The sequence below is a fragment of the Homo sapiens genome, chromosome 11 (assembly GCF_000001405.40).
Source record: "Homo sapiens chromosome 11, GRCh38.p14 Primary Assembly".
Classification (NCBI taxonomy): Eukaryota; Metazoa; Chordata; class Mammalia; order Primates; family Hominidae; genus Homo; species Homo sapiens.
In genome coordinates this window covers 61,284,710-61,308,833 of record NC_000011.10, presented here as the reverse complement: position 1 = coordinate 61,308,833, position 24,124 = coordinate 61,284,710, and the positions used below count along the sequence as shown (strand labels likewise).

General features: G+C 51.0%; 2 protein-coding genes across 12 annotated transcripts in view, besides 6 other annotated features; both read left to right on the top strand.

The window, feature by feature from the left end:
- The window catches only part of DDB1 (damage specific DNA binding protein 1), a 33,655-nt gene extending 24,272 nt beyond the window's left edge, over positions 1–9,383 (top strand). The window contains exons 22-27 of the mRNA NM_001923.5: positions 4,799–4,969; positions 5,679–5,788; positions 6,083–6,252; positions 6,475–6,577; positions 7,902–8,025; positions 8,615–9,383. Coding sequence (NP_001914.3) covers positions 4,799–4,969; positions 5,679–5,788; positions 6,083–6,252; positions 6,475–6,577; positions 7,902–8,025; positions 8,615–8,698 — 762 coding nt within the window. The 3' untranslated portion in view covers positions 8,699–9,383. The remainder of the gene's footprint in view (positions 1–4,798; positions 4,970–5,678; positions 5,789–6,082; positions 6,253–6,474; positions 6,578–7,901; positions 8,026–8,614) is intronic.
- Positions 7,513–8,712: an enhancer, noted in NCBI's record as "MED14-independent group 3 enhancer chr11:61067594-61068793 (GRCh37/hg19 assembly coordinates)". NCBI's record gives its function as "activates an origin of replication core promoter dependent on BRD2, BRD4, P300/CBP and CDK7 cofactors, and independent of MED14, by STARR-seq in HCT116 cells {active_cell/tissue: HCT116}" and the evidence as "EXISTENCE:reporter gene assay evidence [ECO:0000049][PMID:35650434]".
- Positions 13,439–13,508: a silencer, noted in NCBI's record as "silent region_3389". NCBI's record gives its function as "represses an Ori minimal core promoter by ATAC-STARR-seq in GM12878 lymphoblastoid cells {active_cell/tissue: GM12878}" and the evidence as "EXISTENCE:reporter gene assay evidence [ECO:0000049][PMID:35858748]".
- VWCE (von Willebrand factor C and EGF domains) overlaps positions 13,518–24,124 on the top strand; it is a 37,031-nt gene continuing 26,424 nt past the window's right edge. For 9 of the 11 annotated variants that reach the window (XR_949822.3, XM_047426550.1, XM_047426551.1 and 6 more), the window contains exons 1-5: positions 13,518–13,906; positions 17,258–17,352; positions 17,481–17,570; positions 17,907–18,035; positions 22,404–22,520. Coding sequence is in view for 10 of the 11 variants with exons in the window: in XM_047426550.1 (XP_047282506.1) it covers positions 13,797–13,906; positions 17,258–17,352; positions 17,481–17,570; positions 17,907–18,035; positions 22,404–22,520 (541 nt within the window). In the remaining variant the exon portion in view is untranslated. The remainder of the gene's footprint in view (positions 13,907–17,257; positions 17,353–17,480; positions 17,571–17,906; positions 18,036–22,403; positions 22,521–24,124) is intronic. The other 2 variants (XM_047426552.1, XM_017017342.2) reach the window with 1 other exon arrangement.
- Positions 13,689–13,998: a silencer, noted in NCBI's record as "silent region_3388". NCBI's record gives its function as "represses an Ori minimal core promoter by ATAC-STARR-seq in GM12878 lymphoblastoid cells {active_cell/tissue: GM12878}" and the evidence as "EXISTENCE:reporter gene assay evidence [ECO:0000049][PMID:35858748]".
- Positions 13,689–14,467: a biological region, named in NCBI's record as "H3K4me1 hESC enhancer GRCh37_chr11:61061839-61062541".
- Positions 13,765–14,467: an enhancer, noted in NCBI's record as "H3K4me1 hESC enhancer chr11:61061839-61062541 (GRCh37/hg19 assembly coordinates)". NCBI's record gives its function as "activates a minimal SCP1, AML or CMV promoter by ChIP-STARR-seq in naive H9 embryonic stem cells {active_cell/tissue: H9 hESC(naive)}" and the evidence as "EXISTENCE:reporter gene assay evidence [ECO:0000049][PMID:30033119]".
- Positions 14,439–14,698: a silencer, noted in NCBI's record as "silent region_3387". NCBI's record gives its function as "represses an Ori minimal core promoter by ATAC-STARR-seq in GM12878 lymphoblastoid cells {active_cell/tissue: GM12878}" and the evidence as "EXISTENCE:reporter gene assay evidence [ECO:0000049][PMID:35858748]".

Here is a 24,124-nt window from a genome sequence, read left to right as displayed (position 1 = left end):
CTCGGAAACTGAGGTTGAACCACGCATTAGACTAGGTTACGTGAACCCCCATGTGTTTCAGATCCTGAGTGCTGTGGGACTTGAGAAACGAGTGAGACCTATGGTCCCTGCACGTAGGATGTTCCATGCCAAAAGAAAATGAGCCAAATCAGAATATCCTGAGTGCATTCCTGAAAGCTAGTCCTTTGAAATATTCCACTGCTTATGCCATGACCCTACCTCCTCCCTTGCTAAAAAGTTTTTTTCCATCTTTATTGAGGTATAGTTGACAAAAATTTTGTATATCGAAAATGGACAACTTGATGTTTTGGAGTAGGGAGATAGCAGCAAACAAAATGGACAATGAGCTGCCCTTTTGGAGTTTATGAGCAAATAAAGTACATAGTACGTGAAATGGTGAGAAGTAAAAGGGGTGCAGGACTGGAGGAATGCCAGGATGAATGTGGGAAGTGGGGTTTGCTGTTTCATATCACATGGTCGGGAGGGTCTTGTGGATACACAGTGGCATTTGAGCAGATTCCAAAATGAAGGGAGGTAAGAACCCTACCTGTGCTTGGGGAAGACAAGTGCAAGGGGTGGTAGGTCATAGGTGAGAGTGGGCGGGCCTGGTGTCTGTGGGGACTGAGCTGGTGTTCTGGTGAGAGATGAGTCCAAGGGACAGCCAGGGGCCAGAACGTGCAGAGCCTGGTAGGCCATATCAGGGTTTTATTCAGAGCATGATGGCAACCTCTGGAGGGTTTGAGCAAGGGTTTGAACATGATTGAACTTGTATTTTCAAAAGGTCATGTTGCTTCTCTGGAAAGACTGTAGGGGAGCAGGGGTAGAAGCAGCGGTATAAGAGGTCAGTTAGGGGAGGCTCTTGTAGTAATCTGGATGCATTCGGTGGTTGCTGGGACCAGGTGGTGATGGAGGAGAGGAATAAGAGTAGTCACATTCTGCTTATGTTATGAGGGTAGGATTGAAGGACTTTGGTGATAGATTGAAGATGAGATGTGAGAGGCAGAGGAATAAAGGGTCGGGTTTTGGCTTTGCCATTTACTGATGGGAAAGATAGTGCAGCAGGTTTGGAGTGGAAACCAGAGGTTCTGGATATACTCAGTTTCAGTGGTTATCTAAGTGGAGATGTTCACTAGATAACAATGAGAGAGGTATGGAATCCAGGGAAGAGGTACACTGGAGATACTAGCATGGCAGTTAAAGCTGAAAGTCTGGATGACATCACCTAAGACCACCCATGTGCTGAGAGCCCATAGAGACAGGATCTGAAGATAGCCCTAGGAGCTGTCCAGCATTTCAGAGATAGGGTGAAGATCCAGCCAAACAAAGGGTGACTTGTGAAGTAGGAGGAGAACCGAGAGAATAGTGTTCTGGAAGCCATGGAGAAAAAGTTATCTGAAGCAGGAGGGAATTGGTAAACTCCAAGTGTTGCTGGCAGGTCAGGTAACATAAAGATTAGTAACATGGAAGTCAGTGGTAAACTTGATCAGAGCTCTTGGTTGAGTGGTGGGGCTAGAAACCTGATTGCAGTCGCCTCAGCGGAGAGTAGGAGGAAAGGAAGCTGGTACAGAAAACCCCTCAAGGAGTTTTGCAGTAAAGGACAGAGTGATGTGGACAGTGAAATTTCAGGATAAGAATTTTCTGTTTTTAATTTTTCAAGCTGGGAAACACTGCTGCATGTTTTCTATGCTGATGGGACTGATGTTAGAAAGAGAGCCATTGTTCTTGGCCAGGCAAAAGGAGGTGGGATCTCAAACCGAGTGACAGAGAAGGGAACAGATGTGGAAGTTCATGGAAATGCCCTTTTGGCTGTGTCTCTGTTCTCTGTGAAATTGCTGAGAGAGAAGATGGGAAGGAGGTATTGGCAATTTGAGTAGAGTGGAAAAGGGATGAATTCATTGTTTTAGGACCAGAAGAGTGAGAGGAGTAGGAAAATGCATTATTTCTGAGAGGTTTAGGAACCCCCTTTCAGTTAGTCGTCTTGAATGTAAAAGAACAGTCATCCTGTTGGTTGGTTTTCCTTACCTGGAGTGGAAGATGAAAATTTAATACAAGTCGAGTTTTGTTAGGTGAGCATGAGAAAGGGGAGAGGGGTCAGGGCGTTGGAATCTGCAAGACAGTTATTATGTGATTATGGTGGTGGACTATGAGCATCTGAGAAGAGGCAGAGCGGAGGACACGAGATTCAGGAAGAGTGCAGTTACTTGTAATGCCAGGCTTTAAGAGGTGGTCATAAGAATGGACAAAGTAAGTGGGAAAGAAGGGGTCAGAAAAGCTAAGAGGTGAGGGTATTAGAAGGACCTTCTCTGTGAATATTATAGTCATCAAGACTTATAGGAGGTTGTGTGGGAGAGAGTGATGGGTGGGTTGGGGATTCAGGTGACTGCTTTAGTGGGTGATGGTGGTTGTGTGGTCTGGTGGTGTGAGCCTTAAAACTGTGGTGTTTCAGGGGAGGGAGTGACAAGTCTGAAAGAGCAGACGAGGAGCTTGGGAGACTGTGCTACCTCCTGTTCCAGTGCTATGAGGGACAGTGGAAGAGAAAACAGACAAGTTAAGAGGGCCACAAGGCCCTTAGGAAAGAGCCATGGATATGAGTTAGAATGAAGTGAAGGGTTTGCCCAGAGAAGTGGCTGTCCATGGTTAATGACTGTGTTCCAGAGGGTGCAGTGAGTGGGCACAGGGATCAGGAGGGTGGAGGGTGGCATTTGAGGTCAGGTGAGGACATATCTGTTCTGTTGCCAGCCAATAGAAATATTATATGAGCGATGTATGTCATTCTGAATTTTCTAGTAGCCACATTAACAAATGCAAAAAGAAGCAGGTGAAATGAATAAGGTATTTTATTTAACCCAATATCTAAAATATTAGCATTTCCACATGTAATCAGTATAAAAATGCTTATTAAGATATTTTACAGTTTTTCATACTAATAATTCAAAATCTGGTGTGTATTTTATAGTCAGAACACATCTCAACATGGACTAGGCACATTTCAAGTGTTTCATAGCCATGTGTGGCTAGTGACTACCATATTGGACAGTGGAAGTCTACAGCCTTTTGGGAAGAGAATGGGAGTCTTGGCCTTCTGGTGGTGTCTGGCTTTAGTCTTGACTCTCTCCAAGGCGATGGGGAGGTTGAGAGTGTGGAGAGAGAGTGGTGGCAGGTGTTGGCAGGAACATGTGGAGCTCTGAGGCCCCCCGCTTCACTCTTTCTGTTGGAGGTGTGGAGGCCCAGCAAGGTGGGCTTACCTGAAGACGGGGCACTCTGGAGGTACCTTTTACCCTGTGATAGAGGTGTGGTAACCATAGTATGTATGTATGTGTTTATTTATGAGATGGAGTCTCACTCTGTCGCCACGCTGGAGTGCAATGGCGCAGTCTTGGCTCACTGCAACCTCCGACTCCCTGGTTGAAGAGATTCTCCTGCCTCAGCCTCCCGAGTAGCTGGGATTACAGGCACACGTCACAATGCCCAGCTGATTTTTATATTTTTAGTAGAGATGGGGTTTCACCACGTTGGCCAGGATGGTCTCGATCTCCTGACCTCGTGATCCGCCTGCCTTGGCCTCCCAAAATGCTGGGATTACAGGCGTAAGCCACTGCGCCCCGCCAACCATTGTAATTATTACAAATGATTCTTGGAATATATTCCTGTGTAGCTAGGGTTCTTTGGACAAATCTTGAGAAATTGTGGTTTGATTAATATGTTCTGCCCAGGAGTTTCTAGATGTGCAGAGGCCATGGGGATTATCTGGATCCTGAAGGATCTGCCAGGGGAGGCTTGTCAGTTCAGATGGGTTGAGTCTGTCTTCTTTAGCACTGGGCCGTGCCAAGTAGCTCTCCATTTGTCTACTGATGATAAAGCATTTTCATTCTTTTGGAGATGTGGTTGTAATTGAAGAAGCACTGTGGTGGAGACAGAAAAAAGCAGTTTCTTTTTTTTTCCTTTTTTTTTTTTTTTAGGCGGAGTCTCACTCTGTCCCCCAGGCTGGAGTGCAGTGGCCCCATCTTGGCTCACTGCAAGCTCCGCCTCCCAGATTCGCACCATTCTCCTGCCTCAGCCTGCCGAGTAGCTGGGACTACAGGTGCCCGCCACCACGCTTGGCTAATTTTTTTTTTGTATTTTTAGTAGAGACGGGGTTTCACCGTGTTAGCCAGGATGGTCTCGTTCTCCTGACCTCATGATCTGCCCGTCTCGGCCTCCCAAAGTGCTGGGATTACAGGCGTGAGCCACTGCGGCCGGCTGCACAGTTTCTTTTTCCCTCTTGCGGGGTGGTAGAGGGTGGCTGTAGAATCAAGTTCTTCAGGTTCCTTTAGTTATTTGTCAATGTTTCTGTTGGACTTTTCTTTCTTTCTTTCTTTCTTTTTTTTGAGACAGAGTCTCGCTGTGTCGCCTAGGCTGGGATGCAGTGGCATGATCTCAGCTCAGCTCACTGCAACCTCTGTCTCCTGGGTTCATGCAATTCTTGTGCCACAACCTCCTGAGTAGCTGGGATTACAGGTGTGCGCCACCAAGCCCGACTACCCACATTACTGTTTCCTTTACGTGGACTCATTTTTTTATGTAAAGGAAAACTTGGGAAGTTTTGTATTCCTGGTTTGGTGTGTTCATTGTGTTTTCATATTTCATAAATATGTAATAGTGAAATAATAAATGTTCACCCCAGTGCCTCATAAAACCGTTTCCTGTCCCGCATTGCACTTTGAGAAGTAGTGCTGCAGATGAAGGGTCGAAGAGTTGGGGGGAGTCATTCTGAGAGAGCTCTGGCCCCTTTGGCTGAGAGAGACAATGCCCTTCCCAGGTGCGGCTCTATGAGTGGACAACAGAGAAGGAGCTGCGCACTGAGTGCAACCACTACAACAACATCATGGCCCTCTACCTGAAGACCAAGGGCGACTTCATCCTGGTGGGCGACCTTATGCGCTCAGTGCTGCTGCTTGCCTACAAGCCCATGGAAGGAAACTTTGAAGAGGTGATGCTGGTGGGGGGATGCGAGCAGACTTCTTGCTTGAGCCACCGCCCCTGCAAGTGTCTCTGGTGGGGAAGGATAAGCCAGCCCAGTATTAGGGGCAGAAATGTTTTCCCCGGAGCAGACATTCTACATTGATTAAGTTTTTTTTTTTTTTTTTTTTTTTTGAGACGCAGTCTGGCTCTGTCCAGGCTGAAGTGCGGTGGTGCGATCTCGGCTTACTGCAAGCTCTGCCTCCCAGGTTCACGCCATTCTCCTGCCTCAGTCTCCCAAGTAACTGGGACTACGAGTAGCTGGGACTACAGGCACCTGCCAACACGCCTGGCTAATTTTTGGTATTTTTAGTAGAGACGGGGTTTCACCTTGTTAGCCAGGATGGTCTCGATCTCCTGACCTCATAATCGGCCCGCCACGGCCTCCCAAAGTGCTGGGATTACAGGCGTGAGCCACTGTGCCCGGCCCTGATTAAGTATTTTTAGAGACTCCCAACTCAAACTCTGACTAGGCTCCATCTCTGGGCAGTTGGCAACCAAATGGGCTGCGTTGGCAGAGAGGTCGGGGAGAATCCCTCTAGGGTGACACTTGTTGAACACCATGCTATATCTTCTGCAGGGTGGGGCCTTGCTCCTGAATAAAGGAAACACAAGTCCCAGAACTGGATTCCGTGCAAACTGCTGATTATGCTTTCTTCTTTCACCTTGTCTGTTTTAAGATTGCTCGAGACTTTAATCCCAACTGGATGAGTGCTGTGGAAATCTTGGATGATGACAATTTTCTGGGGGCTGAAAATGCCTTTAACTTGTTTGTGTGTCAAAAGGATAGGTGAGTAGTGGCCAGCTCTGGGAGTGGTGGGGAGGGCTGGGAGTTCCTTGGTCTCTGGTGGATGCAAGCATTGGGTTCTGTGTCAGGTTCAGGTGCTCCTGTTTACAGAGATAGAACTTTCCTCGTCAGAGAATAAAAGGTGACAGAAATCCACCTCTTTAGACTGGCTCCCCTACTGTGGAGTATGTCAGCTCCCCAGGGAAATTGAGCACCGTGACCACTGCACGTGGTCCTGTCTCAGGGCCTGTGGTGGAAACAGGAGGTTCAGAAAGTGACTTTCTTACCGCCTTTCAGCGCTGCCACCACTGACGAGGAGCGGCAGCACCTCCAGGAGGTTGGTCTTTTCCACCTGGGCGAGTTTGTCAATGTCTTTTGCCACGGCTCTCTGGTAATGCAGAATCTGGGTGAGACTTCCACCCCCACACAAGGCTCGGTGCTCTTCGGCACGGTCAACGGCATGATAGGTAAGGTCACCCCTGTGGGGCACACCCCCACACAGGCCTCCTTCCTGATACCAGCATTCTGAGGGACTGGGGAGAGCAACTGTACAAGACCTAGGTGTTTACTAGAGGAGGCTGCAGCACATTAGCCCTCCCTGAGCTGCTCACCTGGGCTGCCCTTTACGTAGAGGATACATGCTGTGGGGTTGAGCTCTCTGCAGCTCACTGCCTCCTTCACTTCTTCAGGGCTGGTGACCTCACTGTCAGAGAGCTGGTACAACCTCCTGCTGGACATGCAGAATCGACTCAATAAAGTCATCAAAAGTGTGGGGAAGATCGAGCACTCCTTATATCCTTCCCAGAGCCATCCCCTTGCTGGGAAGCACATCCCGGCATATGTGGCACACGGAGTCACATTACCCGGAAGCTACTACATGTCTTGATTAGGTTCCTGTACAGAACAGGTTTTTTGTTTTGTTTTGTTTTTGACTTTTTCATGTGGAAAATTTCAAACATACACAATAGAACAGTATATTGACTCCCAAAGTACTTATCACCTAGCTTCCGCTGGTCCATCTTGGAAATGTACATTTATATTCCTGAAATGTGTCCGCCTCTGGCCCTCTCGGTGTAGCAGGCCAAATGTGAATTTAGATCACAACACAGGAGCACATCCTTTCAGGGATTTGGTTGAGGGCAACAGTGTCTGAGACTAGAGAAACTACCAGAAGAAAGGGAAAGGTGAAGAAGCGGAAAACACTGAAAGAATCTGCCACCCTGGGACCCCCAGAATCCAAGTGCTATTGGAAGTTTGTGTAGTACAGGAGATATAAAGGGCCCTCCCCGCCCCCCTGGAGGTGGGAGGAGCTCCTGTCTGTGACTCTGGCCCTGCTCTAGCCAAGGAGGGCTGATGGGCTGGTTTATTGGTTTTTTGCTAACAAGACTTTTGGCAGCCTTGTCTCACTGAGTCTCAGTTTATTCATCAACGGAGCTGCTGCTTTTATTCTTCTTCTTCTTCTTTTTTTGTTTTAATTGGAGGTGGGTTCTTGCTCTGTTGTCCAGGCTAGAGTGCAGTGACATGATCATGGCTCACTGCAGCCTTGACATCCTGGGCTCAAGTGATTCTCCCATCTCAGCCTCCCGAATAGCTGGGACTGTAAGCACGTGTCAGCTCACCTGGCTAATTAAAAAAAAATTTTGTTTTTTGTAGAGACAGGAGTTCATGATGTTGCCCCGGTTTGGTCTTGAACTTCGGGACTCAAACGATCCCCCTGCCTCAACCTCCCAAAGTGTTGGGTTCACAGGCATGAGCCACCACCACACTGACCCCTCTATGGAGCTTTGAGGCTAGACTTAGGTGGTTCTTGTGCATCAGCTTTGCCTAGAGCACTTTTAAAGAACTTCCATACATATACGGGCTTCACATTAATAGACTCTGATCTGTACTTTTAAAAACTATTTTGAAGATCACCCCAATTGAGAACCAATTAGATTAGGTCATATTTTTACATTTTTTTCAATTCCAAAAATGTCCAAATAAAAGCAAGGCGAAAGGAAGTGTCATTTCCTTTCTAATCCTGATGATTGCTTTAGATTGTGGTCTTATTCAAAGGTGGGGATGACTGAGGAGGGTGTTTCCTGATAAGCACGTGTTCCTTAACTCACCCATCCACCTGGAGATCCTTTCACACCGAGCGGAAGACAGAACCAGCCACAGGTTTCATCGACGGTGACTTGATTGAGAGTTTCCTGGATATTAGCCGCCCCAAGATGCAGGAGGTGGTGGCAAACCTACAGGTGAGCTGTGTGGTGTTTAACCCTGGGCCAGACAAGTCCACTGCAGGTTGGGGCATGCCAGGAGACTGTCTCTGGGCACCTCTCCTCCTCAGTTCCAAGATGCGAGGGGACCTCTGTGTAATCCTTACCAGATGGAAGGTGGAGTCTGAGGGAAAAGAGATGTTTGTAGTTGTGGCTCGTGGGTACCCACTAGGTACCAGATGCTGTGCTAGTAACTCTACCCATGTTAACCCCGTCCTTGAGCAGTGAAGACATATCTGGGATCTTTAGCAAGACCCAAAGGTGGGAGGCAGGGTCAGGATCCCGTAGGGAGGAGAAATGGCCACAATTCTGGAGTTTGGGATATTGCTCACTGGAGATGGTGTCTCGGGGATAGCAGAAGAGGGAGAATCTTGAAGAGGGAGAAATAGACCAGGTGGTGTCCTTGCTGACCTGTGCCACCCAGGGGGAGGCGTGGGTTTCTGGTGAGTCCTTCCTCTGCCATGACAATGGTGGAGTCTTGTGCCTCCTTCACTGGGGGCATTCCCTTCCCCACCTGTGGGAGAGCACCCTCTTGGTCCTCACAGCCCCGCCCATCTTCTCATTGCAGTATGACGATGGCAGCGGTATGAAGCGAGAGGCCACTGCAGACGACCTCATCAAGGTTGTGGAGGAGCTAACTCGGATCCATTAGCCAAGGGCAGGGGGCCCCTTTGCTGACCCTCCCCAAAGGCTTTGCCCTGCTGCCCTCCCCCTCCTCTCCACCATCGTCTTCTTGGCCATGGGAGGCCTTTCCCTAAGCCAGCTGCCCCCAGAGCCACAGTTCCCCTATGTGGAAGTGGGGCGGGCTTCATAGAGACTTGGGAATGAGCTGAAGGTGAAACATTTTCTCCCTGGATTTTTACCAGTCTCACATGATTCCAGCCATCACCTTAGACCACCAAGCCTTGATTGGTGTTGCCAGTTGTCCTCCTTCCGGGGAAGGATTTTGCAGTTCTTTGGCTGAAAGGAAGCTGTGCGTGTGTGTGTGTGTATGTGTGTGTGTGTATGTGTATCTCACACTCATGCATTGTCCTCTTTTTATTTAGATTGGCAGTGTAGGGAGTTGTGGGTAGTGGGGAAGAGGGTTAGGAGGGTTTCATTGTCTGTGAAGTGAGACCTTCCTTTTACTTTTCTTCTATTGCCTCTGAGAGCATCAGGCCTAGAGGCCTGACTGCCAAGCCATGGGTAGCCTGGGTGTAAAACCTGGAGATGGTGGATGATCCCCACGCCACAGCCCTTTTGTCTCTGCAAACTGCCTTCTTCGGAAAGAAGAAGGTGGGAGGATGTGAATTGTTAGTTTCTGAGTTTTACCAAATAAAGTAGAATATAAGAAGAAAGGTACATTTGTTTTTGCTTTTATTCACCCTGCCCAGCTATCCAGGACTCCAGGTTAACTATTCTTAATTTACTGCGAACTTAGGCAGTATCCTCCCTTTTATGGCAGTTGTTGCATTCACTTGCCCTTGCTGTTAGAACAGCTCTTTTCAAGTAGTGAAAGTGAAGACATCTATACCTCTTCTTCATCACGTGATTGTTTGATGGGATCCCAAGGATGATGGGCTTAGAAATTCACTGGTCTTTTTGGTTGTCCTTGACACCATTTGATTCTTACTTGCCTCTGTCGGTAACCTGCTGGGCCTGGGGGTTGCCTGGACTGCCTTTCCTGGTTTTATAGCCAGCTCTGTGTGCAGTGTCCAGTCATCTAGCCCCCAGGCCACCTAGTAGCTCCTCATGTACCTCCCAGCTGCTTGTTGCCACATGCCCTTTGGACCCTCATTTTGTTTCCTCTGATCTAATCAAGTGAACCTTTGGTGCTTTTGGTTTGAGAATACAGCAGGAGTAGGGCACATATGGGATTCACTCTTCTGTCTGGCAAACAAAGCCTGTCTTCTTTTCAGCTTGGTGGGCCAATGTCTGGGACCACGTTTCTCTCAGTGATCCGGTGGGAAGAAAGGCTGCTCTGTCCCCACGGTGGAGTAGGGTTGATACTAGGCATATTGGTGGCTCCTTTAAGACCAGCCTTTGATACAGTGTCAGGAAAATTGTGGTTGCAAGTTCAAATTGTGGTTTTGAGAGATTCTAGCTTAAAAAGAAAAGAGCTAAGAAGCATCCCTGGTTTGAGGGTCTTCTGGAGGAAGTTTCCTTCCCTGAAGGAATTCCTTGTGTTTTATTACCTTTTTTTCCCCTTACTCTTCTGAGAGTTCTGCGGGTGGGGGATAAGGGTCTTAACAAAAAATAATCAGCCTCTCAAAAACCACAGGTTGAACTGGAAACCCAACACTGTGATTTGAATTCTAGAAGTCATAGTTTGAATTTGAAAGGGCCTGCCCCCCTGCCAGAGGCCAGCTTTAATGAGGCAGGCAAGCAACAGTCTCCACATTGTGATTATTTTAAAAATTTAATCCTAGATGGGAGCGCTGACTATAAGGTGTCATAATCAGAAAGACAGAATGTGGTGGGATGATCATTCTGGGGCACTTTTGTGGTCTGACCTGCAGCTGCTGAGACCTGCTATTGAGAAGAAGGTTGTCAATGACTTGTCTTGAATTTGGAAGCCTGTGGAGTCCTTGCTATGTTTTGCTGATTTTTTGTTTTGTACACTCTTGGGTGTATTCACTCGGGATTGAATTCCAACTTTGGAAACTGATGTTCTGCTGCCATACTCCCACATCCCCTCTTAAACACCATTAATCACCTCTCTAGGGGTGAAAGGTTGTCTTTGGAGCGTGGCTGTAGCCAACTGGAACAGCTCCATTCCATGTAGGCGCTGATGAACTAGCATCACTCCAGGCCTCTGCACGAAGGGACCTTTGGGAGAATAATAGAAACACTGACTCATCACATGACCATTTGAAGGGATCACAAGCCAGAGGCTGTCATTCTGCAGCCAACAACAACTTGGATCCTCCACCCTCGGTGGAGGGTCCCTTTTGTTACTGAGAAACCACAAGCCACAGAAGTGGGAAGAAACACAGGAACTGCAATCAAGGGATATGCCCGAACTAGTCTTGAACAATAGTAAGTTAGAGACTCTGTGTCCAAACTGAGAAACCTCAGGGTCAAACAAAAAGACAAGAAAAACAAAAACCAAACTAAAGGGGAAAATGTTGATAGGAGCAAGGTGAATGCCATAAGGTCACAGAAACTTTATGGGGAAATGAAAGAAATGCCAGGGGCAGTTTGGACGTTGTTTGGAGATTCACTAACAGGAATTTACTGTGTACTAAGTATCCTAAATTCCTTAGGGTAGATGTGGGTTTTCTTCAAGCACAAAGTTGCATCTCAGCTATTCCAGCTGCTCATTGGCCAATATGGAGCAAACTCTGCCAGGGAGTGAGTTTTACAGGGTGAGGTGGAGCAGGTGGGGCTCCATAATGTAGCTAAGAACAGAGGTAGCTGAGGTGTGCTGGAGTGTGAGAAGATGGCATGAAATATGGAAGCCATGTGGACACTTGTTCTGTGTATGCCTGTTGAAAATTTGGGTAGCTCCCCTAGGGCCAGGAAAAAAGAGCACCTATTTGACATTGGTGGTTTAGGGGCAGTGGAGGGGGAAAGTGTAACCTTCAGATGTTTGGGGCAAGAGAGAAAGATGCCTTAGGATTCCGAGGGTCCTTGGGACTCAGAATGGATATGACGGAAATTGCATTCATCTTATGTTACAGAATATTTTGGCTCCTACTTGTTGAGAATATGTTGACAAGAAAATGGGCCAAAACAAACAAGGTGAGATACGGCCTCAAGGTGAATGTCTGCAAAAATGTAGCCACAAGCCGGGTGCGGTGGCTCACGCCTGTAATCCCAGCACTTTGGGAGGCTGACGTGGGTGGATCATTTGAGGTCAGGAGTTCAAGACCAGCCTGGTCAACATGGTGAAACCCCGTCCCTACTAAAAATACAAAAATTACCTGGGCATGGTGATGTGCGCCTGTAGTCCCAGCTACTCGGGAGGCTGAGGAAGGGGAATTGCTTGAACCCGGGAGATGGAGGTTGCAGTGAGCCGAAATCGTGCCACTGCATTCCAGCCTGGGCGACAGAGAAAGACTCCATCTAAAAAAAAAAAAAAAAAAATGGGGCCACACAGCTTCAGGTAGGGAGACCACTTGGCAGCTTGTGTTTAAATAACATAAAAGCACAACAAAAAATGCCTGCTTTTTTTCGTTCTTTTTTTTTTTTGAGATGGAGCCTTGCTCTGTCGCCCAGGCTGGAGTGCAATGGTGCAATCTTGGCTCACTGCAACCTCTGCCTCCTGGGTTCAAGTGATTCTCCTGCCTCAACCTGAGTAGCTGGGAATACAGGCGCCCGCCACCATGCCCAGCTAATTTTTGTATTTTTAGTAGAGATGGGGCGTCACCATATTGGCTAGGCTGGTTCTGGAACTCCTGACCTCAGGTGATCCGCCCACCTCAGCCTCCCAAAGTGCTGGGATTACAGGTGTGAGCCACCGCGCCCGGCCACCTGTGGTTTTTCTTTACTGCAAACTCAATGTGTCATAATTAACATCATGGGGTTGCCAAAAACGTAATATTAGGGTGCATTAGTAAAAGTATGGTGTCTGCAGGAAGGAGGCACGAGTCCAGGCCACCGCTGGTACGCCATGTCCATTTGTGGCCACCAATGTTAAGCACCTCAGTAAAGGCAGAGGTAGCAGGAAGGCCAAAGGAACAGGGATTGTTCAACTGGGAAGTGAAGACACTTTAAAACAAATGTGGTTCAAAACTGGATTGGGCCGCTTCTTAACAGATAGTGAGTTTCTTACCCCTGGAAGTATTTAAGCAAAATCTTGACTAATTGTGGGTGGCTAAGGGAAAGATTACTGCATGGAGCAGAAGGTAAAATCAGTTATCCTTTCAGCTTTCTCCCAGCGGGATGATTTTGATTTCCGCACCCCTTCTTTGCCTAAATCCCTAGGCAGCCCCCCAGTCTCTGACCACGGCCTGGGGCAGCTGCAGAAGGGGCAAAGAGGAGCCTTCCAGATCTGCTGCTGCCTCTCCACTGCCAACGGCGCCAGCTGCTTCCTGGTCTTGCCACCAGCAGTCGGGAGGCCGGCCATCTGCCCCCTGGGTGCCCAGAGGAGCCCGGGGCTTCAAAAGTGGCTAGGGCCCCAGGCCAGGGAGCGGTTGGACCCACAGATCAACGCACTCCGGCGTTAGGGTGCAGACCTTCTGGCAGGCTGGGGGCAGGCCTAGAACTGCTCAGCGGCACAGCGACCTGGCGTCGTGGGTTCGAATTTCCACGGTTCCCACCTCGTCACAACAAGGCGTCTCGGGTCCCACCGACAGGGGCCATGCCCGGGGCGCGCAGCCTCTGGTGCTAGCCTTGTTCCCGAAGTCTGTTTCCTCCCGGGGCCTCGGTCTGACGCCTTCAGTCAGCGCTTCGCAGGAAGCCGACTCCCAAACCGGGGCAGGGGGTGTGGGCCGAGGGCGAAACCCCGCCCCCAGGGGTCCCTGATCTTTGCCCCCGCCCCGGGCTCCGCGCCTCTCGGAGAGGCATCAGCAGGCGGGCGGCGTTGCCTTTGTGTGTTTCGCTTCGAGGTGCCAGAGACCCTCCCCACAATCGTCCGCCGCGTCCCCTCGCGGCCCTCGGCCCCTCCTCTCGGCGTCCCAAGCCCCCCTGCTCAGCTCTGCGTGCCATTTCGGGGATCGCTGGTTCGCTCCCCACGGCGCCAGGAGGAGGGGCGAGGGCCGGCAGCCCCCTCTCCCGCGCGCGGCGCAGGAGCCGAGCCCAGCCCGGGGGACCCGCCGCCGCCGGTCATGTGGGCCGGACTGCTCCTTCGGGCCGCCTGTGTCGCGCTCCTGCTGCCGGGGGCACCAGCCCGAGGCTACACCGGGAGGAAGCCGCCCGGGCACTTCGCGGCCGAGAGGTAAGCGCCCGGAGCTCCTCCCCGCTCCCCCGCCCGGGAGAGCGCTACCGGCGTGCAGTCGAGAGGCGCGGAGGGGCGCTCAGGAGCCGCAGGCAGCCGCGTGTCGGGGCTTCCTCTGGGGTGCTATCAGCGCGGGCACAGCTCGGGGACGGCACAAAGAGTCAGCAACTTGTGCCTCTAGGCGGGTGCTCATCGTGCCCCCCTGGCTGGGGCTGTCCAGACTGGGACCTGGGAGATCGGAGGTCCAGGCGTTGGGTGACTCCTAATGTGCCCTGGAGCGCGGACCTCTGGAGAGGGGAGCCCAGGACGTGCCATCTGGTCTCCGGACTGGCTGGCTCACCCCCCAGCGTGCCCGTGGCTCTGCCCGGGCAGCGCCTGGCCTCCCCTGCCGCGCGGGGCTTTCCCTGGGTCTTGGCCCTACGAACTTCATGGACCTTGGAACAGCCGGGGTCTCTGGGTCACTTTTCGTTTTCTGTCCGTGCGTGTGCGCGCGTGGGGGTGGGGTGCATGCCCCTCCGCTGTCTTTCGCGATGGATGCCGCCCTCCGCACGTGCTTTCCCCCGGGCCGCGGTGGGGCCGTGCGCGTGTGTGCGTGATGCTCGGAGCTAGGGAACACTGTGTCAGCAGGCGGCCTGGCCCGCGGCCACGTCCTCCGGGGGGCGCGCAGCGGGGGCGGCCCGGCCAGGCTTGTAGCTCACACGTGTGTTCCACAGCCACCGCCAGTTCCTGCTCAGAACCTGCCCCGACTCCCCGGCGTTCCACAGGCTCCCACCACCTGTCCCTCTGTCACCAGCCCTAGGAGGCTCCTTAGGGCGCTCTGGCGGGTGCTCGGTCCCTGCCCACCTGAGAGTTCGACTCCATCAGCCTCCCTGGGCACCCTTTTATCTGCCGCCTTGGTGGCACTGCCTGTCCGTTTCTGAGAGTCCCAAGGCTCCGCTCATTCGCCCGGTCCCCTCCTTCTCAGGCTGCTGCCATAATCACTCCAGCAAGGGGGTGGATGAGACTTCACTGCCAGCTCCCGCCAGCAGGAGGGCCCCCCCTTTCTTCTGTGATGACCTCAGAGAGGGAAAAAGGCCCCAGGGACAGCTTTCCTCAGACTTTTGTGTGCTGCCATTGCACCCTGAGCTTCCCTTTCCGGAATACTTGTCACATTTTGGCACAGATTTTTCTCCCCAAGAACACGCTAAGTTTGCCTTGTCCCATGTCCCCAGTGCCCAGCGCAGAGTGGGTGCTTTACAAAGTGCCTGCCTCGCAGAATCATCTTCCCTCCGCTCTGAACATTGGTGGAACACCATTGGGAAGGGGTTTCTTGTCCCTTTTCTGTTGCGGTGGGGTTGGAAGCTCAAACCAGGCTGGATTTCATCACCCTCTGTCCAGTCCATGACTGGAGCTGGTTGCAGTTGTCCTCTCTGTCCCCCTCCAGGCCTGCAGTTGTGCTGTTTCCCCTGCTAGAACACCCTCTCCCTTCCTCTTCTTTTGCTGGCTGCCCTACTTTTTTTTTTTTTTTTTTTGAGACAGAATCTTATTCTGTCACCCAGGCTGGAGTGCAGTGGTGCGATCTCGGCTCACTGCAGCCTCTGCCTTCTGGGTTCAAGCGATTCTCATGCCTCAGCCTCTCGAGCAGCTGGGACAACAGGCACATGCCACCACACCTGGCTAATTTTTTTTTTTTTTTTTTTTTTTTTTGAGATGGAGTTTTGCTCTTGTTGCCCAGGCTGGAGTGCAGTGGCGTGATCTCAGCTCACCGCAACCTCCGCCTCCCAGGTTCAAGCAATTCTCCTACCTCACCCTCCCAAGTAGCTGGGATTACAGGCATGCGCCACCATGCCCGGCTAATTTTGCATTTTTAGTAGAGTCGGGGTTTCTCCATGTTGGTCAGGCTGGTCTCAAACTCCTGACCTCGGGTGATCCGCCCGCCTTGGCCTCCCAAAGTGCTGGGATTACAAGCGTGAGCCACCGCGCCCGGCCTGTATTTTTTTTTTAGTGGAGACAGGGTTTTGCCATGTTGGCCAGGCTGGTCTCAAACTCCTGACCTCAAGTTATCTGCCTGCCTTGGCCTCCCAAAGTTTTCTCTCTCACCTCAGCCTAGATGCTGCCCTTCCAGGAACCCCCCCTGACCCTCCTCAGGGCTCCACAGTCTGTCCCACTGTGGCATTTGTCACTCTATGCTGTTATCACCTAGCTCCTGGTCTGCCCTACTTTCCTTGAAGGTGGGGGCAGTAGTTTGTTTATGGCTGTATGGTCACGCCTTACTCAGCACCCAGCACCAGTTGGATGCATCTGGCTTCCTGCCCTTTCTGGACCTCATTCCTGCTTGAACAGACCCCTACTGCCTCCAGTTTTGGGCAGCTCATTCATGACCCCACACCCACCCAAGAGATGTCACCTATGCCATTGCCCTTCTCAACCTTTCCCTCAACAGCCATTTATTGAGCACCTACTACATGCCAGGCACTCCTGTACGTGCTGGGGTAAATAGATAAGAAACCCTTGTCATCAGGGAGTTGTAGGGGAGACAATGAATTAATAAATTAAAATCTAATGTCACAGGAAGTAAATGTTGTGGAGAATAAAGCAAGGTAAGGGTGGACAAGGAAGGCCTCTCTGAGAAGGTGCCATGGGCAGAGATCTGGGTGAAGGGAGAGAGGAAGCCCAGTGTGTGTCTGAGGAAGAATCTTTCTCTCTCTCTTTTTTTTTTTTTTGTTTTGAGACGGTCTGGCTCTGTCACTTAGGCTGAAGGGCAGTGGCGCCAACTTGGCTCGCTGCAACCTCTGCCTCACAGGCTCAAGCCATTCTCCCACCTCAGCCTCCCGAGTAGCTGACCCTACAGGTGTGTGTCACCATGCCCAGCTAGTTTTTGTGTTTTTAGTAGAAACGAGGTTTCACCATGTTGCCCAGGCTGGTCTCAAACTCCTGGGCTCAAAATGATCAGCCTGCTTCGGCTTCCCAAAGTGCTGGGATTACAGGCGTGAGCCACCACACCCAGCCATAAGAACCTTTCTTATAGCAGGAACTGCAAGTGCAAAGGTCCTGAGGCAGCCACCCCTGGGGCTCCTCATCTATTGCACAGCCTTTCTTCAACTCTGAGGCCCCTCTCCTGGCCACTCTGCTGTGTGTTCACGTGGCAGATATCTGTAGGAGGCCAGTATCTATTGTCTCACACTTTTGTCTCTGTCTTGCCTCCAGGAGAAGACTGTTTGGGTCATTTTTCTTTGGAAACTTCCCATTGCCCCTCCAGACAGTTCTTGAGAATTGTTTGTTGATTCACTTACACACTGGCTGGGAGACTTTCCTGTTGACCAATGTCTCCCCCAGTATAGAATGAGGAAAGTGCTCTCTCTTCTCTTGCAGACGCCGACTGGGCCCCCACGTCTGCCTCTCTGGGTTTGGGAGTGGCTGCTGCCCTGGCTGGGCGCCCTCTATGGGTGGTGGGCACTGCACCCTGCGTAAGTGCTTGTCCCTGTGCCCCAAGTCTTCTCCTCCAGCAGTGTGTGTTGCCAGCCCTCAGTCCCTGGTCCGAGGGGCAGACGGGAGGCCCCAGTTCCTCGTGTCTCACCTGCACTTCTCCTCTCAGCCCTCTGCTCCTTCGGCTGTGGGAGTGGCATCTGCATCGCTCCCAATGTCTGCTCCTGCCAGGATGGAGAGCAAGGGGCCACCTGCCCAGGTAACTGGGGATGGGAAGGGGCTGATGGGAACAGATGAATGAGCATTGAGGTTATGTCCTGGGCAGTGGGCACTTGAGATGTGTCCTGGTGTCTCAGCTTCAGACAACTCCATTAGGTAGACATTTTGTGCCCATTTTATAGATGAAGAAACTGAGACACAGAAGTTATTGTCTTGCCCGGGGTCACACAGCTGGTAAATGGCAGAGCTGGATTTAAACCCAGGCCTGTTTGCCTTCAGAGCTACCCTCCCAACAGAATTCAGGAGGACCCTGGTGAAGTGGGGATGGTTGGGACTGCCACGGGGTGCATGCTCACTGGTGTGATGCCTGCTCTAGAAACCCATGGACCATGTGGGGAGTACGGCTGTGACCTTACCTGCAACCATGGAGGCTGTCAGGAGGTGGCCCGAGTGTGCCCCGTGGGCTTCTCGATGACGGAGACAGCTGTTGGCATCAGGTGTACAGGTGAGACGCCTGGGAGTGGTGGGGGAGGGGGAGGGGGACAGCGGGAATTATATCTCCTCCCCCTCCTGCCAGGATGGTCTCCAGTGTATTGCAAGGCTAAGCTGAGCCAAGATAGGCTCTGATGTTTGAGAGTGGGCAGAGAGACATGAGAACAAAAGAAATGTGTCACTTCTGTTATTTTACAATTATTTATTGAGCACTTCTTAGGGGCAGGAACTGAGCTAGGGACTGGGGTTATGGGAGCCACAGTTGGTCCCTGTTAGGGAGTTTTTTTTTTTTTTTTTTTTGAGACGAAGTTTCACTCTTTTGCCCAGGCTGGAGTGAAGTAGCATGGTCTCAGCTCACTGCAGCCTCCACCTCCTGGGTTCAAATGATTCTCCTGCCTCAGCCTCCTCAGTAGCTGGGATTACAGGCGGGTGCCACCACACCCAGCTAATTTTTGTATTTTTAGTAGAGACAGGGTTTTGCCATGTTGGCCAGGGTGGTCTCGAACTCCTGACCTCAGGTGATCCACCCACCTCGGACTCCCAAAGTGTTAGGATTACAGGCGTGAGCCACCGCACCCAGCCCCATTAGGGAGTTTCTGAATATGAGGAAGGAAGACAAGTAACAGGACAAGAACAGCTCCATTGTCATGGGGACCTTCACTGGGAAGGGCAAGGTGCCAGGGCCCACAGAGGGGCATGGAACCCAGAGTTGGGAGGGTTGGCCAGGGGAGGCTCCTTGGGAAAATGACATTTAAAAGATGAGGGACGCTAAACTCAATAATTAGTTTGTGAATGTATTATTTGCTTGTGATTTTTAAAACATTTCTACGGACAAAATCTGTTACCTTCCCCAGAAACAGTCACTGTGACCAGTTTCTTGTCAATCTTTCCAGAGCGACAAAAGCCTTTTTGGAGTTTTAACTTCGTAAAAGTAATATTTCTCCCCCTGAATAGAAAAGCAAGAGATAGTTCATTGTAGAACATTTGGAAAGTAAGAGGAGAAAGATGAAAATAAGCATTCTCTGGAAGTCCCCACCCGGAGATATTTGTTACTAAAATGAAGTTTTTTTTCCTGCCCTTTTCCCTGGGTGTGTCTGTGTTTGTGAGTGTGTGTATGTGTGTGTATGTATGTTAAGCATGCAGCATATATGTATGCTTTATAAAACTGGGATTATATCTTATCTGTAGCTTTTATTATTTTTCCCATCTAACTTTATGTTGTAGGCATCACTAACAATTCCTTGCAACATAATTTTTTTTTTCGCTAGGCTTGGTGGCTCACGCCTGTAATCCCAGCACTTTGGGAGGCCGAGGCGGGTGGATCACTTGAGGTCAGGAGTTCAAGACCAGCCTGGCCAACATGGTGAAACCCTGTCTCTACTAAAAACACAAAAACTAGCTGGTGTAGTGGTACATGCCTGTAATCCCGGCTACTCAGGAGGCCGAGGCAGGAGAATTGCATGAACCCAGCAGGTGGAGGTTGCAGTGAGCCGAGATCACACCACTGCACTCCAGCCTAGCGACAGAGCAAGACTGTCTCAAAAAAACAAAAAGAAAAAAAATTTTTTTTTAGCAGTTACATATGTGGTTGCTGTAATTGAAATAACTATTTGTCTGTTGTCCCTTATTTAAGAGGTTTGCAGTGTTTCACCAGTATAAATAATGCTGCCATAGGGCCGGGCACGGTGGCTCACCGCTGTAATCTCAGTACTTTGGGAGGCCGAGGTGGGTGGATCACGAGGTCAGGGGTTCGAGACCAGCCATGACCAACATGGTGAAACCCCGTCTCTACTAAAAATACAAAAATTAGGTGGGTGTGGTGGCGGGTGCCTGTAATCCCAGCTACTCAGGAGGCTGAGGCAGAAGAATTGCTTGAACCCGGGAGGCGGAGGTTGCAGTGAGCCAAGTTCGCGCCACTGCACTCCAGCCTGAGTGACAGAGCGAGATTCCGTCTCAAAAAAAAAAAAAAAAACGCGCCATAAAGAGGCTTCCTGTCAGCTTCTCTGATTATTTCCCAGAAGGACGCTGTTGGGTCCAAGGGTCTCAATAAAGGGGTCTTGGAGCTCATTGCTTGTTGCAGCATCTCCTCCAGATAGGAAAACCAATGGAAGCAATTGATCTGCTCCTGAATGCCTTTCACCTTGGGACATTTTCTGCACGTATTTCTCATTGCAGAGGCAAACGGAACCAAGGAAAAGCCAGAGAACAATGTCAAAGCACTTGCAGGACAGGGTGGCACTGACTGTAGCCACGAGACATCCCAGTGGAATGGGGTTAGTCAGAGTGGGCTTCTTAGCGGTGTTGAGCATGGTCTTGACGGTCCAGCTGTTGGGAAGAGTGGGTAGCTGCTGGGTAGAAGGCTAAGTAGGGGATAAGGAGAGTGGGGGTGTCCCATGGGCTTGGGGGCCACAGTGGCGAGGCTCACTACACAGTGAGTGCAGATTGAGTAGACTGAGCTGAGCCCGTAGGTCCTCAGAAGCTGCTGCGGATCTTTGGCAGGGAAGGGATGGCATGAAGCATGATTTGGGGAAATCTGTCTCCCAGCTCCTATCATCCCTCAGATCAGAACATCTCACTAGGCTCACCTTCGTAAAGTACTACTTGGATTTAGTCACTGCAACTTAGTCTCATCTTTTTTTTTTTTTTTTTTTTTTTTGAGACAGAGTCTCACTCTGTTGCTAGGCTGGAGTGCAGTGGTGCGATCTCGGCTCACTGCAACCTCTGACTTCCTGGTTCAGCGATTCTTATGCCTCAGCCTCCCAAGTAGCTGGGATTACAGGCACGTGCCAGCATGCCCAGCTAATTTTTGTATTTTTTTTTAGTAGAGACGGGGTTTCACCATGTTGGCCAGGATAATCTCAATCTCCTGACCTCGTGATCCACCCACCTCGGCCTCCCAGAGTGCTGGGATTACAGGCGTGAGCCACTGCGCCTGGCCTTAGTCTCCTCTTAATCCATATCTTCAGTCCTGTCTCCTGCTGCCTCAAAAGGAACCCAAGCTTCAGCTACTCTGGGCCTCAGTACAGTTTGCAAGGAGCCCAGCTGCTGCCTGGAAGCACCTCAGACCCTTTCTCCACCTGGGCAGTCCTTCTCCCGATACTCCTGGTCCTCTCAGCCAGTCGCTCTTCCAGGGCATGCCTGCCTGGGCCAGTCTGTCACTGGTGGGGCATATATCATCCCAGCAGGCACTGTTCTCCCCTGGGTGTGTGTCTTGGCTCCTGTGTTATCAGACCGTGAACATCTGGAGTCAGCGCTGTGTCTTAGTTAGTCACATTTGCGTCCTCAACAGCACCCCTCTGGGTCTGCTGCACGCAGTTGGTGCTCTATGAACCTTTAAGAGAATGACTCTGTTGATTATTTAATCAACCTCCCTGTCCACTGCCCTCTGCCCGTTTGAGGGCCCTTTGGGGTTGCCCTGAGGGCCAGGGCCATTGGAAACGTTTGGTCTCAGCCGTCTTCTCTCGTCATCTGATCTTCATGGGTTAAAGGGGGCCCCAGTCCCTTGGCCTCTTCCTTCCTGGGGTTTCCTCATAGCCAGTGACCTTCCTGGTGTCTGCTCTTTTTTCCTGGGGTGCAGGTGGGGATTCCATGCTGCTGAGGGCAGGCTTGGTGTGGGCTCAGGGTCCTTGTGGGGTTGATTTGTTCCTGAGTCACAGTCATGTCAGAGAGGGCCGTGCAAGGGAGATTTCTTTTCTTTTCTTTTTTTTTCTTTCTTGAGATGGAGTCTCGCTCTGTCGCCCAGGCTGGAGTGCAGTGGTGCGATCTTGGCTCACTGCAAGCTCCGCCTCCCAGGTTTACGCCATTCTCCTGCCTCAGCCTCCCAAGTAGCTGGGACTACAGGTGCCCGCCACCGCGCCCAGCTAATTTTTTGTATTTTTAGTAGAGACGGGGTTTCACCATGTTAGCCAGGATGGTCTTGATCTCCTGACCTCGTGATCTGCCCGCCTCAGCCTCCCAATGAGCTGGGATTACAGGCGTGAGCCACCGCGCCCGGCCTTCTTTTTTTTCCTGAGATGGAGTTTTGCTCTTGTCGCCCAGGCTGGAGTGCAATGGCGCAATCTCGGCTCACCGCAACCTCCGCCTCCTGGGTTCAAGCGATTCTCCTGCCTCAGCCTCCCGAGTAGCTGGGATTACAGGCATGCACCACCATGCCTGGCTAATTTTGTATTTTTAGTAGAGACGGGGTTTCTCCATGTTGGTCAGGCTGGTCTTGAACTCCGACCTCTGGTGATCCATGGGCCTCGGCCTCCCAAAGTGCTGGGATTACAGGCGTGAGCCACCATGCCCGGCCTGCAAGGGTGCTTTCTTCCCAGACACTGACAAATGTGTAAGTTCCTCTTGCGAGGACCACTGTGTAAACACGTGCTTTCTGTCTTTCCAGACATTGACGAATGTGTAACCTCCTCCTGCGAGGGCCACTGTGTGAACACAGAAGGTGGGTTTGTGTGCGAGTGTGGGCCGGGCATGCAGCTGTCTGCCGACCGCCACAGCTGCCAAGGTGAGCTGCAGAGAAGGAATGGCTGCTCTGGGAGGGGTAATGGGGATGCCACATTGAACACTCAGCCCTGCCATGCCCAGTGCAGTGTGCTCTGTGTGCCACTGCATTGAACCTTCACCACCGGCTTCGGAGGGAGATGCTATTATGGTTCCTGTCTGACTGATGTGGAGACTGAGGCTTGCCCAAGGCCAAGTCGTTAGTAAGAGGTGGAGTCAGAGTTTGAATCCCAGCACATCTAACAGTTAGAACCGACTGCTGCTGGCCTGGTGGGTTGACTCACATCTGTAATCCTTGCACTTTGGGAGGTCAAGGCGGGAGGATCACCTCAGGTCAGGAGTTTGAGACCAGCCTGGCCAACATGGTGAAACCTCGTCTCTACTAAAAATACAAAAATTAGCCAGGCGTGGTGGCGAGCACCTGTAATCCCAGCTACTCGGGAGGCTGAGGCAGGAAAACTGCTTGAACCCAGCAGGTGGAGGTTGCAGTGAGCCGAAATTGCACCACTGCACTCCAGCCTGGACGACAGAGTGAGACTTCATCTCAGAAAACAAAGTACCTGCTGCTGCTGTTGCAGGATAAAGGGATGGTGATGGAGGAGAGGCCGTGAGGAGAGCCAGGGCAGAGTGGGCCGACCAACCTGGGGAAGGAGGCCACTGAGATGAGGGAGGGCCGGGAGAGACTCAGGCCATGAGTCCCGAGGAGCCATGGGAGGGGCATACCGGGATGGGGTCATTCACTGACTACATTCATCAGTTTCACCTGCCCCACTGCTGGCCCAGGCTCTGGAGCTACCCTGGGGAGTAGGATCCCCCAAGTCTGATGGGGAGCAGAAGAACAAGCTTAGGATGAGGGATAAGTGTTGGGAAAACCCAGGGAAGAGAAGGAATCCTACCTCTTCAGTTTGCAGGATGAGAGATCTTACAATTATTACTCATTCTTTTAAAATGCCTTTTATTTACACATTATGGAAAGAATCTCACAAGGCCGATAATTGTGACCTCCCCCTGAATCTTACATTATTATTTTCTTTATGTTTGACATTTTCATAAATTATGAGAAAAAATTTAAAAGCCATGGTGCTAGCCCAGGCCCTCTTTCCCACTGCTGCCCTCTGCTCTCCCTGGAGAATAGCCTGCGCGTCTTAGTCTGCTTGGGCGGCCATGATAAAATTCCACAGGCTGGGGGCTTCTACCACTGACATTGATTCTCATAGTTCTGGAGGCTGCAAAGTCCAAGATTAAGGCACTGGCTAATTCAGTTTCTGGTGAGGGCTCTTCCTGGCTTTCAGAAAGCAGTCTTCTTGCTGTGTCCTCACTTGGAGAGAGAGCTCTCTGGTATCTCTTCTTCTTCTTTTTTTTTTTTGACATGGAGGAGGACAGAGGACACTCCCTCTGTTGCCCAGGAGTGCATTGTTGCAATCTCAGTTCACTGCAACCTCCGCCTCCTGGGTTCAAGCGATCCTCCAACCCTCCCAAGTAGCTAGGGTTACAGGTGTGCGCCACCACGACTGGCTAATTTTTGTATTTTTAGTAGAGATGAGGTTTCACCATGTTGGCCAGGCTGGTCTTGAACTCCTGACCTCAAATGATCTGCCCGCCTTGGCC